Here is a 12,852-nt window from a genome sequence, read left to right on the forward strand (position 1 = left end):
GAGAACAGTACATTGAAAACAGTAAATTTTATTGTATGTAAGTTAAAAATTGTATGTTAAATGCTGATACTGCATTTACAAAAGAAGAACATAATGCTATAAAAATATTCAAAGTTGGCTGGGCTCAGTGGCTCACACCTGTAATCCCAGCACTTTGGGAGGCCGAAGCAAGTGGATCACAAGGTCAGGAGATCGAGACCATCTTGACCAACAAGGTGAAGCCCCGTCTCTATTAAAATACAAAAACAAAATTAGCCAGGTGTGGTGGCACGCGCCTGTATCCCAGCTACTCGAGAGGCTGAGGCAGGGGAATCGCTTGAACCCGGAAGGCGGAAGTTGCAGTGAGCCGAGATTGCGCCACTGCACTCCAGCCTGGGTGACAGAGCTATACTCCATCTCAAAAATAAATAAATAGAGAGAGAGAAAAAGAAGGGCGGAGAGGGAGAGAAAGAAAAAAAAGAAAGGAAGGAAAGGAAAAGAAAGAGTGAGAGAGGAAAGAAAGGAAAAGGAAAAGGAAAAAAAATTATAGGAAAAAAAAGTTCTCAGAAGGCTCAGCAAAATGGCTGAAAACACTCATACCAAGATATATCATGGTGACATATTAGAAAATGGGAACAGGCCAGGCGTAGAGGCTCACGCCTGTAATCCCAGCACTTTGGGAGGCCGAGGCAGGCAGATCATGAGGTCAGGAGTTCGAGACCAGGCTGGCCAACATGGTGAAATCCCGTCTCTACTATAAAAATACAAAAATTAGCCAGGCGTGGTGGCATGAACCTGTAGTCCCAGCCACTCCGGAGGCTGAGGTGGGAGAGTTGCTTAAACCCGGGAAGTGGAGGTTGCAGGGAGCCTAGATGCCACCACTGCACTCTAGCCTGGACAAGAGAGACAGAGTCTGTCTCGAAAAAAAAGAAAAAAGAAAATGGGAACAAAGAGAATATTCTACCAGCTTCCGGAGACAAACAGATCTTATACATTGAGCAGAAATCAGTAACAAAATATTTATTAATAGCAACATGGGAATCTAGAAAGTAATGAAGTAACACTTTAAAATTCTGATGGAAAATTATTTCCAACCTAGAATTCAAACAGACAATCAATTACGCCTGAGGGGCATGGTTACTTTTAGGCATTCAAGGTCTCATAAGAATGTTCCTGACCAGGCGTGGTGGCTCACGCCTGTAATCCCAGCAGTTTGGGAGGCTGAGGAGGGCGGATCACCTGAGGTCAGGAGTTCAATATCAGCCTGGCCAACATGGTGAAACCCCGTCTCTACTAAAAATACAAAAATTAGCTGGGTGTGGTGGTGGGCACCTGTATCCAAGCTACTTGGGAGGCTGAGGCAAGAGAATCGCTCAAACCCGGGAGGTGGAGGTTGCAGTGAGCCAAGATCACGCTACTGCACTCCAGCCTGGGCGACAAGAGCAAGACTCTATCTCTAAATAAATAAGTAAATACACTGGAGTACTCATAGAAGGTAACCAAGACAAAGTGGAGGCCAGAAGGCAAAGACTGTTTCAGAAGATTAAAGTGAAAATCTAATGAATGTAAATATTTTGGGAGATGATTTATACAATTCTAAAAGTTTAGAGTCAAATTAGCAGTGTCGACGAAAAGAGTCAAACTCTTGTCAAGTATTTGAAGAGAATTATTCTGTGCCACATATGAGTAACCACAGCCCATGATGCAGCCCTCAAGAGGTCCTGAGAGCACGCGCCCAAGGTGGTTGGGGTGCAGCTTGGTTTTATATATTTTAGGGAGGCATGAGACATCAATCAAATACATTTGAGAAATATACTGGTTTGGTCCATTAAGACAGGACAACTCGGGGTGGGAGTGCTTCCAGGCTACAGGTAAATTTAAAAATTTTCTTGTTGGCAACAGGTTGAGTTTGCCTAAACAGAAAGGAATGTCTGGGTTAAGATAGAGGTTGTGGAGACCAGAGGTTTTTTTTGTTTGTTTGTTTGTTTTTTCGAGATGGAGTCTCACTCTGTTGCCCAGGCTGGAGTGCAGTGGCGCAACCTCAGCTCACTGCAACCCCACGCCCCTGGTTCAAGCAATTCCCCTGCCCCAGCCTCCGGAGTAGCTGGGATTACAGGCACACGCCACCACACCCAGCTATTTTTTTATATCTTTAGTACAGACAGGGTTTCACTATGTTGGCCAGACTGGTCTCCAACTCCTGACCTCAGGCAATCCGCCCACCACAGCCTCCCAAAGTGCTGGGATTAAAGGTGTGAGCCACCGCACCTGGCCACTTTTTTTTTTTAAATGGAGTCTTGCTCTGTTACCCAGGCTGGAGTGCAGAAGCATGATCTTCACTCACTGCAACCCCCACCTCTTGGGTTCAAGAGATCTCGTGCCTCAGCCTCCCCAGTAGATAGGATTACAGGCGCCCGTCACCACACTTGGCTAATTTTCATATTTTCAGTAGAGATGGGGTTACACCACGTTGGCCAGGCTGGTCTTGAACTCCTGACCTCAAATGATCCACCAGCCTCTGCCTCCCTAAGTGATAGGATTATAGGCTCGAGCCACTGCTCGGCTGAGAACACAGTTTTATCATACAGATGAAGCTTTTAGCAGACAGGCTTCAGAGAGAATAGGTTGCAAAATGTTTATTATCAGACTTAAAGTCTGCATCGATGTTAATGTCAGAGACATACAATGAGGCAGGTTCAGCCCCCACTTCCCATCATGGCCCAAAACAGTCTCTCAGGTTAAATGTTAAAGAGCCCTGGCTAAGGAGGAAGTCCATTCAGATGGTTGGGGGCGCCTTAGAATTTTATTTTTGGTTTACAGCAGTTAAGTACATAGACAGCTAAGTAGCAACAAAAAATGGCAATTATTAGCACCAGAGAAAACAAGAAGTGCAGGAAAAGTAATCTGTATAACATACGGTTCAGCTGTCAACATGATGTTTATTCACACTGTCATTAGAAAAAAAAAACACTGGGCCTGGCACGGTGGCTCACGCCTGTAATCCCAGCACTCAGGGAGGCCGAGGCGGGCAGACCATTTGAGGTCAGGAGTTTGAAACAAGCCTGGCCAACATGGTGTAACTTCGTCTCTACTAAAAATACAAAAAAATCATTCGGGTGTGCTGGCGGGGACCTGTAGTCCCAGCTACTCAGGAGGCTGAGGCAAGAGAATGGCGTGAACCCGGGAGGCAGAGCTTGCAGTGAGACGAGATCCCGCTACTGCACTCCAGCCTGGGAGACAGAGCAAAACTCTTGTCTCAAAAAAAAAAAAAAAAAAAAAAAGAAAAGAAAAGAAAATCGATCGGGTGTGCTGGCGGGCGCCTGTAATCCCACCTACTTAGGAGGCTGAGGCAGAACTGCTTGAACCGGGAAGGCAGAGGCCGCATTAAGCAGAGACTGTGCCACTGCACTCCAGCCTGAGCCACAGAGCGAGACACTGTCTCGAAAGAAAAAAAAACACTGAATACTGATCTAACTAAAACTGGACACAGGTTCAACGGCAGACTACGGAGTTGGGGAGGCCCCGAAGGTGGAAGTGTTTGTGTGTGTGTTTGGGATGAGGGGAAGGAGGTCAGGGGCTACTAAAAATGATACCTACTATACATGGGTTAAATCAATAGACAACAGAAATATAATACCAAATTCAAAAGGTGGAAAGAAGTTTCTCCTGAGGAATATTAAATAAAATAGGGATGAGGGTGATGGGACTGGCTAACTTTTTTTTTTTTTTTTTTGAGACGGAGTCTCGCTCTGTCACCCAGGCTGGAGTGCAGTGGTGTGATCTCGGCTCACTGCAACCTCCACCTCCCGAGTTCAAGCGATTCTCCTGCTCCAGCCTCCTGAGGAGCTGGGACTACAGGCGCGTGCCACCATGCCCAGCTAATTTTTGTGTTTTTAGTACAGACGGGGTTTTACCATGTTGTCCAGGATGGTCTCGATCTCCAGACCTTGTGATCCACCCACCTCAGCCTCCCAAAGTGTTGGGATTACAAGCATGAGCCACCGCGCCAGGAATGGAATGGCTAGTTTTCAACGTGCCTTTTAGAAATACTTCACTAGCCGGGGCGCGGTGGCTCATGCCTGTAATCCCAGCACTTTGGGTGGCTGAGGTGGGAGGATCACTTGAGCCCACGAGTTCGAGACCAGCCTGGGCAACATAGCAAGATGCCATTTCTAAAAAAAAAAAAAAAAAAAAAAATTTAAAAAATTAGCGGGCGTGGCAGCCTGCACCTGCAGTCCCAGCTACTCCAGAGGCTGAGACGGGAGGATCGCTTGAGCCCAGGAGTCTGAGGTTGCAGTGAGCCAAGATCGCATCACTGCACTCCAGCCTAGACAACAGCAAGACCCTGTCTTTAAATAAAACAGAACAGAACAAAGTAAAACAAAGAGAATAGGGACGACTCCTGGGTTGTGTTTTGTTAGTCTGTTTGTTTCTTGTTTGTCTAGTCTTTCAACTGAAGATGTGAATGGGTGAAGATACTTTCAACGAGACGGTTTGTCTGGGGAAGACCAAGAAGGGGGAACAGAAAGATTTCTTCAGTAAGATTCATTCTCACCCCGTTCGGGTTGAGATCCCTAAGGAAAGAAAGTTCTGAGAGGAGAGGATGGGTGGACGTCACAATGAGGCAAAAAGCATCAAAGGGGGAACTTTCTATCAGAACTTTCTAACAACCAGGCGGAGAGCGGACAGCTCTATCTTGGACGGGGTGGTGGCCAGCAGCTCTCTCGGGCCAGGGCTGAAAAAAACCTCCAAGGCTCGGACTGCCGCCCCGACTTCTGAAGCAGCGGTGTCGTTCGGGGCTGACCGACGAGCGTCCCTAGCGACAAGGGGCCGTGTCCATGTGCCGGTTCCCGCGCTGCAAGAGGGGGCGGCGGCCGGAGCTGCCCAACGGGAGGGGAGCACAGAACCGCCACGCGCACACGCCTCGGGCCGGAGCGGCCGAGGATGAGGGGCCTGAGGGAGCGGACGCTCGAGAACAGGAGCCCCCCTGGACCACCTGGGCCACAGGGCAGACGCCCGCGGGGGCAGAGCGCGCCTCACGTGAGGCGTGGGGCGGGGCAATTCGCTTCTCGCCTCAGGCGGAATCGCTCACCCGACGGCACGTAGTCCTCGTCCTCCTCCGACGTAGAGAAGTCTTCGGAGTCGAATTCCTCCATGTTGCTGCCGCTCGACGCTGGTCAAACTCACAAGACCGCAGCAGCCGCCTCCAACGGCAAAGCTCTAGGGAGAGACCATAGAGCCCCGGCGGCGGCGACGGCAGCTAGGGCGGCCCCCGACAGCGCTTTGCACATGCGCAGAGAGTACTACGTGGTTGCCCTACGACACTTCCGGCCGATGCCTCCGGGCTGGCGTCCCTGAAGCCCTCGCTGGGAGCCCGAACCCGCCCGGACGCGGTGCATGCTGGAACTTGTAGTCTTCGGCGCTGCCTCGCCGCCTTAATATAATAAACCTGCTTAAATAAAATTACATATCTATGGAAATACAGGTGACCTTCATTAATCATTAATTCGTAATGCCAAATTCACTTACTTGCTAAAATGTATTTGTAACCCTAAAATCAATCATCACGGTACTGTCTGGGGTTCTTCCCGGGCATGCGCAGAGGGTGAAAATTTGGAGTTGGCGGAGGTAAGGTTCCCAGCTGAAGTTTGAACTGGGAGAAGCGCCGCCTTCTAGTCGCAGCTCCTGTGCTGTAAACAAAGAGTCCTTTCCGCAGTCTGTTTACTGACACTTTTTTTTCTGCTTTTTGTGGGTGGTTTTGCTTTCTAAAATGGCCCCCAAGCGTAGTGCTTAAGCTCTGCCCAGTGTTCCTAAGCGAAAGAAGACCGTGATGTGCCTTACGGAGAAAGTCCGCGTGTTGGATAAGCTCCAATCAGGCATGAGTTACAGTGCTGTTGGCCATGAGCTCAATGTTAACGAGTCGACAATCCGGTACATCAAGAAAAAGGAAAAGGAAATTCACCGATCTGTCCGTGAGGCCGCTCCGGATAGTGCTGAAGTGACCTCCATCGTGCGTGATGAAGCTATGACAAAGATGGAAAAGATGGAAAAGCGGCTAAATTTGTGGATTCATGAGATGTCAATCGATTAAAAAAAACATAGTGGACAGCATTGTGGTGAGGCTGAAAGCCAAAGATATCTGTGGTCACGTTACCCAGAGTCAAAGAAATGCTAAGCCCTTCTCGGCGAGTGCTGGCCGGCTCGCGCGTTTCAAAAGGCGATACGGGGTGAAAAATGTTAAACTTGCAGGTGAGGCGAGCTCTGCAGATCAGGAGGCTGCGGAAGAATTTTAAAAATACTTGCTAAGTGTTATACAGGAAAAGGGTTATGTGAAAGAGCAGGTTTTCAATGCGGATGAGACTGGCTTATTTTACAAGGATGTTGGCAAACGAACCTATATAATGCAAACGGCCTCCAAAGCCCCTGGCTTTAAATCATGCCAGGATCATGCACCCTTGTTATTGTGCGCCAATGCCAAGAGCGACTAAAGTGCAAACTCCTAATGGTGTAAAGAACCCAAAATCCACAAGCACTTAACGGGAAATACGTGAACCATCTGCCAGTCTATTGGAGGTGGAACAAAAAAGTGTGGATGATGTCTGATTGGTTCCACAACTGCTTCATCCCAGAAGCTGAACACTGTCTCCAGGGCAGAAACCTTGCCTTCAAGGGTTTTTTGTTTTGTTTTGTTTTGTTTTTTGTTTGTTTGGGTTTGTTTTGTTTTGGTTTGGTTTTGAAACGGAGTCTCGCTCTGTCGCCCAGGCTGGAGTGCAGTGGCGCAATCTCGGCTCACTGCAAGCTCCGCCTCCCGGGTTCACGTCATTCTCCTGCCTCAGCCTCCCGAGTAGCTGGGACTACAGGCGTCCACTACCACGCCTGGATAATTTTTTGTATTTTCAGTAGAGACGGGGTTTCACCGTGTTAGCCAGGATGGTCTTGATCTCCTGACCTCATGATCCGCCTGCCTCGGCCTCCCAAAGTGTTGGGATTACAGGCGTGAGCCACCGCGCCGGGCACCTTCAAGGTTTTGTTAATTTTGGATAATGCTACAATCCATTGCTGCAAAGAACTCGAAAATGCACACGCCAACATAGGAGTTCTTTTTATGCCCCCAAACACTAAGTCTCTCATCCAACCCCTCAATCGGGGCATAATAAAAGCATTCAAGGCACACTACACAAGGGAGCTTTATATGAAGGCCTGTGAGGCTCTCAGGACCAACAAGGAAACCACCATGCTGGACTATTGGAAGTCGGTCACTACATGCAACGTTATTGATTATGTCAGTACAGCCTGGGAGAGCATTGGTCAGGCTACTACCAATAACTGTTGGGAAAATGTTTGGCCAGACTGCGTGGAGAATTTTGAAGGGTTTGAAGGTGTTACAGAAAATATAAAGAACACTGTCAGAGACATAATGCATATGGCACAGCAGGTAAGTGGAGAGGGCTTTGATGACGTGAAGGAAGGAGATGTGGAGTACATTTTGGCAGAGAAGGCAGTGGAACCAACCAACGAAGACCTGGATGAGATGGCAAAAGAAGGCATTGGAGTTGATGGCCATGAAAGTCGGCCCAAGACTTCCAGAATTGTCCCTCTCACAGCGCCAAAATATCAGAATGGAGTTCTGCCTTGGAAAAAATTTTTAGCGACATGGAAGAGTGTGACCCTACGCTTGATCGAAGCCTCAAATTTAAATGGCTGGCCTCCACTGCGTTTGCCCCTTATACCGAGATGCTTAAAGATTTCAGGCAGAAAAGCCAGGCAGGCAAGGCTAATGCAATTTCTCAAGCCAGTTTGGGAGGGAAGATTGCCCACTCCTTCAACAAGTGTCAAGAGCCAGACTCCTAAGGTAGAAATGCCAGAGGTTGACCTGCCACCCTCTTCCTCTTCTGCAGAATAAATTTCACTCACCCCTCCCCTGGTTTCTGTGGGGCAAGCCAAGGTCGAGAGGTTTAACCACATTGTGCAGCTCCATCAACCGTAAGATTTTAGTTGATATTTTTATAAAACTTAGGATGCTCCATCTTTGAACTTTTTCCCTTTATTTGTATTGCTGTACTGTAGGGTATACAGTATGTGTGCAAAGTAGTGTATGTGTTTACTGTGGGAACTGTACAGTATGTTATACTGTTGACTGTATATGGGAACTATATGTGTGTACTCTGTGTGTGCCAATGAAAAGGTTGTACAGGCTGGACGCGGTGGCTCACACTTGTAATCCCAGCACTTTGGGAGGCTGAGGTGGGCGGATCACAAGGTCAGGAGTTCAAGACCATCCTGGCCAACATGGTGAAACCCTGTCTCTACTAAAAATAGAAAAATTAGCTGGGTGTGGTGGTGGGCGCCTGTAATCCCAGCTACTCAGGAGGCTGAAACAGGAAAATCGTTTGAACCTGGGGGTCGGAGGTGGCAGTGAGCCAAGACCATGCCATTGCACTCCAGCCTAGACAAAAGGGCAAGACTGACTCAAAAAAAAAAAGTAGTGCAATCTCAGTACACTAGAGTACATTACACCAAACTACTGTCATTGAAATTTTATTGTAAATACTGCAGATTATTTTTAAGAAATACATATTAAATAAGGTGTCTTTGAACAGAAACACACATAAAACAAAGTTACATACCGATCAGTTGACAAAAGTGTTGACCAGAGGTTCACAGGAACCTAACCCTGTATTTCTCCCAGGACCCATGGTTCGGTTTTTGCTAATTCAATGTTCTCGACAACTTTATAGCCATAACTACTGTGAATACAAAGAATTGACTATTCAGGAATGCAGCCATCATCCACAGGAACCCTTCAAGTTAAACCATATGGAAGTACAACCATATATAATCTTTACCATTTCTTCAGATTAAAACATTTTAATGATCTATTTATGAGGTAACAATCAGAAGCAAATTCAGAAGAGACACCAATGACTACCACACTATTTGGTTTTGTTTGTTTTTGAGATGGAGTCTCTCTCTGTCGCCCAGGCTGGAGTGCAGTGGCGCGATCTCGGCTCAATGCAACCCCCACCTCCCTGGTTCAAGCAATTCCCCTGCCTCAGCCTCCCAAGTAGCTGGGATTACAGGCGCACGCCACCACGCCCGGCTATTTTTTTTTTTTGTATTTTTAGTAGAGACGGGGTTTCACCATGTTAGCTAGACTGGTCTCAAACTCTTGACCTCAGGCAATCCGCCTGCCTCGACCTCCCAAAATGTTGGGATTACAGGCGTGAGCCACCGTGCCCGGCAACTATTTGTTTATCTTGTATACAAATATGAGTTTTTGTCAGCTGAAATTGCTCCTCATTGACACTCTGGACTAGACTGGGTCTGTAAATCCAGGAAATCAAGAAATAAATCTTTTGTGAATCAAGGAATAGATGAGACATGCATGTGATTAATAAGACATTGCAATGGCTCTATACCAGCAAACTTTTAAAAATAGCCTTATTGATTGGGAGGCTGAGGCAGGCGGATCACAAGGTCAGGAGATCGAGACCATCCTGGCTAACACGGTGAAACCCCGTCTGTACTAAAAAATATAAAAAATTAGCCGGGCGTGGTGGCAGGCGCCTGTAGTCCCAGCTACTCGGGAGGCTGAGGCCGGAGAATGGCATGAACCTGGGAGGCGGAGCTTGCAGTGAGCCGAGATCGCGCCACTGCACTCCGGCCTGGGTGGCAGAGGGAGACTCCGTCTCAAAAAAAAAAAAAAAAAAAAGCCTTATTGAGACACAATTCACACACCATAAAATGTACCCATTTAAGTGCACAACTCAGGCCAGGCGTAGTGGCTCACGCCTGTAATCCCAGCACTTTAGGAGGCTGAGGGAGGTGGACTACCTGAGGTCAGGAGTTCAAGACCAGCCTGGCTAACATAGTGAAACCCCATCTCTACAAAAATACAAAAATTAGCTGGGCATGATAGCATGTGCCTGTAATCCCAGGTACTCAGGAGGCTGAGGTGGGAGAATTGCTTGAACCCAGGAGGCAGAGGTTGCAGTGAGCCGAGATCTTGCCATTGCACTCTAGCCTGGGTGACAGAGTAAGACTCCGTCTCAATAAAATAAAATTTAAAAATGCACAATTCAATAGTTTTTGGTATATTCAGACTTGCACAATCATCACGAAATCCATTTAGAACATTTTTATTGCCCCCAAAATAAACCCTTTCTCATTCCCCATTCATGCTCATTCTTTGTTTCTCCTCAAAGACCAACTTCTATAGATTTGCTTATTCTGAACATTTATTTCATATAAATGGAATCAGACAACATGTGGTCTTTGGGGTCTGGCTTCTTTCACATTTCACATTTCACATTTTCAAAGTTCATTTCTCTTAGGTATATCCTAAGTGGGATTGCGTGATCATATAATAACTTTAAAAAAAAAACTTTGGAGGCCAGGCGCGGTGGCTCACGCCTGTAATCCCAGCACTTTGGGAGGCCGAGGCAGGCAGATCACCTGAGGTCAGGAGTTTGAGACCAGCCTGGCCAACATGGTGAAACCCCATGTCTACTAAAAATACAAAAATTAGCCAGGTGTGGTGGTGTGCGCCTGTAATCCCAGCTACCCAGGAGGCTGAGGCAGGAGAATTGCTGGAACCCAGGAGGCAGAGGCTGCAGTAAGCCGAGATTGCGCCACTGCACTCCAGCCTGGGCAACATAGCAAGACTCCGTCTCAAAGCAAAAAACAAAACCTTTTGAAGAACTGCCAAAGTGTTTTCCAAAGCAGTTGTACCATGTTATATTCTCACCAGCAGCATGTGATGGTTACAATTTCTTTATCCCCTTGCCAATACCCTCTTTTTTTTTTTTTTTTTTTTTGAGACAGAGTTTCACTCTTGTTGCCCAGGCTGGAGTGCAATGGCGTCATCTTGGCTCACTGCAACTTCCGCCTCCCGGGTTCAAGCGATTCTCCTGCCTCAGCCTCCCGAGTAGATGGGATTACAGGCACACACCACCACGCCCGGCTAATTTTTTGTATTTTTAGTAGAGACGGGGTTTCACCATGGCCAGGCTGGTCTTGAACTTCTGACCTCAGGTGATCCGCCCGCCTCGGCCTCCCAGGGTGCTGGGATTACAGGCGTGAGCCACCGCGCCCGGCCTCCAATACCCTCTTTTATTCTAGCCTTCCTAGTTGGTGTGAAGTGGCATCTCACTGTAGTTTTGATTTGCATTTTCCTGATGACTAATGGAGTTAAGCATCTTTTCATGTCCTAATTGGCCATTGTATATGTTCGTTGGAGAAATATCTTTTGAGATGTTTTGCCCTTTTTATTTTATTTTTTTGAGATGGAGTCTTGCTCTGCTGCCCAGGCTGGAGTGCAGTGGCGTGATCTCAGCTCATTGCAAGCTCTGCCTCCCGGGTTCCAGCGATTCACCTGCCTCAGCCTCCCGAGTAGCTGGGACCACAGGTGTGAGCCACCAGGCATGGCTAATTTTTGTATTTTTAGTAGAGATGGGGTTTCATCATTTTGGTCAGGCTGGTCTCGAACTCCTGACCTCAAGTGATCCACCCACCTCAGCCTCCCAAAGTGCTGGGATTACAGGTGTGAGCCACTGTGCCTGTTTTGCCCATTTTATTTTATTTTATTATTTTATTTTACTTATTTTTTATTTTATTATTTTATTTTATTTTTAAGACAGAGTCTCGTTTTGTCGCCCAGGCTGGAGTGCAGTGGTGTGATCTCGGCTCACTGCAAGCTCCACCTCCCGGGTTCACGCCATTCTCCTGCCTCAGCCTCCCGAGTACAGGCGCCCGCCACCACAACCGGCTAATTTTTTTGTATTTTTAGTAGAGACGGGGTTTCACTGTGTTACCCACGATGGTCTCGATCTCCTGACCTCGTGATCTGCCCACCTCGGCCTCCCAAAGTGCTGGGATTACAGGCGTGAGCCACTGCGTCTGGCCTTTGCCCATTTTAAAATTGGGTTCTTTTTGTTGATGTTTAAGTTTTTTTGTTTGTTTTGAAATGGGTTCTCACTGTTGCTCACGCTGTAGTAGTGCCATCACGGCTCACTGCAGCCTCAACCTCCCTGGTCTCAGGCAATCGTCCCACCTCAGCCTCCTGAGTAGCTGGGACTACAGGGGCGCACCATCATGCCTAGCTAATTATTATTATCATTATTATTATTTTTTTTTTGAGACTGAGTCTTGCTGTTGTTGCCCAGGCTGGAGTGCAATGGCATGATCTTGGCTCACCACAACCTCCACCTCCCAGGTTCAAGCGATTCTCCTGCCTCAGCCTCCTGAGTAGCTGGGATTACAGGTATGCACCACCACACCCGGCTAATGTTTGTATTATTAGTAGAGACAGGGTTTCACCATGTTGGCCAGGCTAGTCTCGATCTCCTGACCTTGTGATCCGCCCGCCTCAGCCTCCCAAAGTGCTGGGATTACAGGTGTGAGCCACCGCGCCTGGCCACGCCTAGCTAACTTTTATACCTTTTGTAAAGACGGGGTTTCACCATGTTGGTCCAGTTGGTCCACCACCAGGCTGGTCCAGTCCTTTGTGACTTGAACATATTTCCTCATATTTTGTGAGGTTTCCACTTTTTTTGAAAGACAGCATCCTGCTCTATTGCCCAGGCTGGAGTGCAGTGGTGCATAGCCCCACTGTAGCCTCCAACTCCTGGGTTCAAGCAATCCTCCCACCTCAGCCTCCTGAGTAACTAGAACTTCAGGTGCACACAACCACACCCAGCTAACTTTTAAAAATACACATATTTTGTAAAGATAGGGTCTTGCTGTGTTACCCAGGCTGATCTCAAACTCATGACCTAAACCAGTCCTCCCACCCGGGCCTCCCAAATTGCTGGGATTACAGGCATGAGCCACCGTGTCTGGCTATTCATACTTTCTTGAAGGTGTCCTTCAAAG

The 12,852-nt window shown here is 47.6% G+C and overlaps 2 protein-coding genes across 9 annotated transcripts in view, besides 5 other annotated features; one reads left to right on the forward strand and one right to left on the reverse strand.

Annotated features, from left to right (window-relative positions):
- CFDP1 (craniofacial development protein 1) overlaps positions 1–5,286 on the reverse strand; it is a 139,794-nt gene extending 134,508 nt beyond the window's left edge. For all 8 annotated transcript variants that reach the window (XR_007064846.1, XR_007064847.1, XR_007064845.1 and 5 more), the window contains exon 1: positions 5,072–5,286. Coding sequence is in view for 5 of the 8 variants with exons in the window: in NM_006324.3 (NP_006315.1) it covers positions 5,072–5,135 (64 nt within the window). In the remaining 3 variants the exon portion in view is untranslated. The remainder of the gene's footprint in view (positions 1–5,071) is intronic.
- Positions 3,266–3,465: a silencer, noted in NCBI's record as "fragment chr16:75465381-75465580 (GRCh37/hg19 assembly coordinates)". NCBI's record gives its function as "represses an EF-1alpha promoter that drives an FKBP-Casp9 reporter gene in an ReSE screen in K562 erythroleukemia cells {active_cell/tissue: K562}" and the evidence as "EXISTENCE:reporter gene assay evidence [ECO:0000049][PMID:32094911]".
- Positions 4,722–4,961: a silencer, noted in NCBI's record as "silent region_7719". NCBI's record gives its function as "represses an Ori minimal core promoter by ATAC-STARR-seq in GM12878 lymphoblastoid cells {active_cell/tissue: GM12878}" and the evidence as "EXISTENCE:reporter gene assay evidence [ECO:0000049][PMID:35858748]".
- Positions 5,272–5,781: an enhancer, noted in NCBI's record as "active region_11130". NCBI's record gives its function as "activates an Ori minimal core promoter by ATAC-STARR-seq in GM12878 lymphoblastoid cells {active_cell/tissue: GM12878}" and the evidence as "EXISTENCE:reporter gene assay evidence [ECO:0000049][PMID:35858748]".
- Positions 5,272–5,892: a biological region, named in NCBI's record as "NANOG-H3K27ac-H3K4me1 hESC enhancer GRCh37_chr16:75467440-75468007".
- Positions 5,325–5,892: an enhancer, noted in NCBI's record as "NANOG-H3K27ac-H3K4me1 hESC enhancer chr16:75467440-75468007 (GRCh37/hg19 assembly coordinates)". NCBI's record gives its function as "activates a minimal SCP1, AML or CMV promoter by ChIP-STARR-seq in naive H9 embryonic stem cells {active_cell/tissue: H9 hESC(naive)}" and the evidence as "EXISTENCE:reporter gene assay evidence [ECO:0000049][PMID:30033119]".
- Positions 6,987–8,003, forward strand: LOC124903723 (tigger transposable element-derived protein 1-like). Its single transcript, XM_047435019.1, has one exon. The coding sequence runs from the start codon at positions 7,085–7,087 to the stop codon at positions 7,880–7,882; it is 798 nt and encodes a 265-aa protein (XP_047290975.1). The 5' UTR covers positions 6,987–7,084; the 3' UTR covers positions 7,883–8,003.
- Positions 8,004–12,852: the final 4,849 nt, after the last annotated feature.

Source organism: Homo sapiens, chromosome 16 (genome assembly GCF_000001405.40).
Source record: "Homo sapiens chromosome 16, GRCh38.p14 Primary Assembly".
In the NCBI taxonomy this organism is placed as follows: Eukaryota; Metazoa; Chordata; class Mammalia; order Primates; family Hominidae; genus Homo; species Homo sapiens.

Bases quoted from the DNA above. Each gene is read 5' to 3' on its own strand.
- LOC124903723 (XM_047435019.1), top strand. From the start codon at position 7,085: ATGCCCCCAAACACTAAGTCTCTCATCCAACCCCTCAATCGGGGCATA.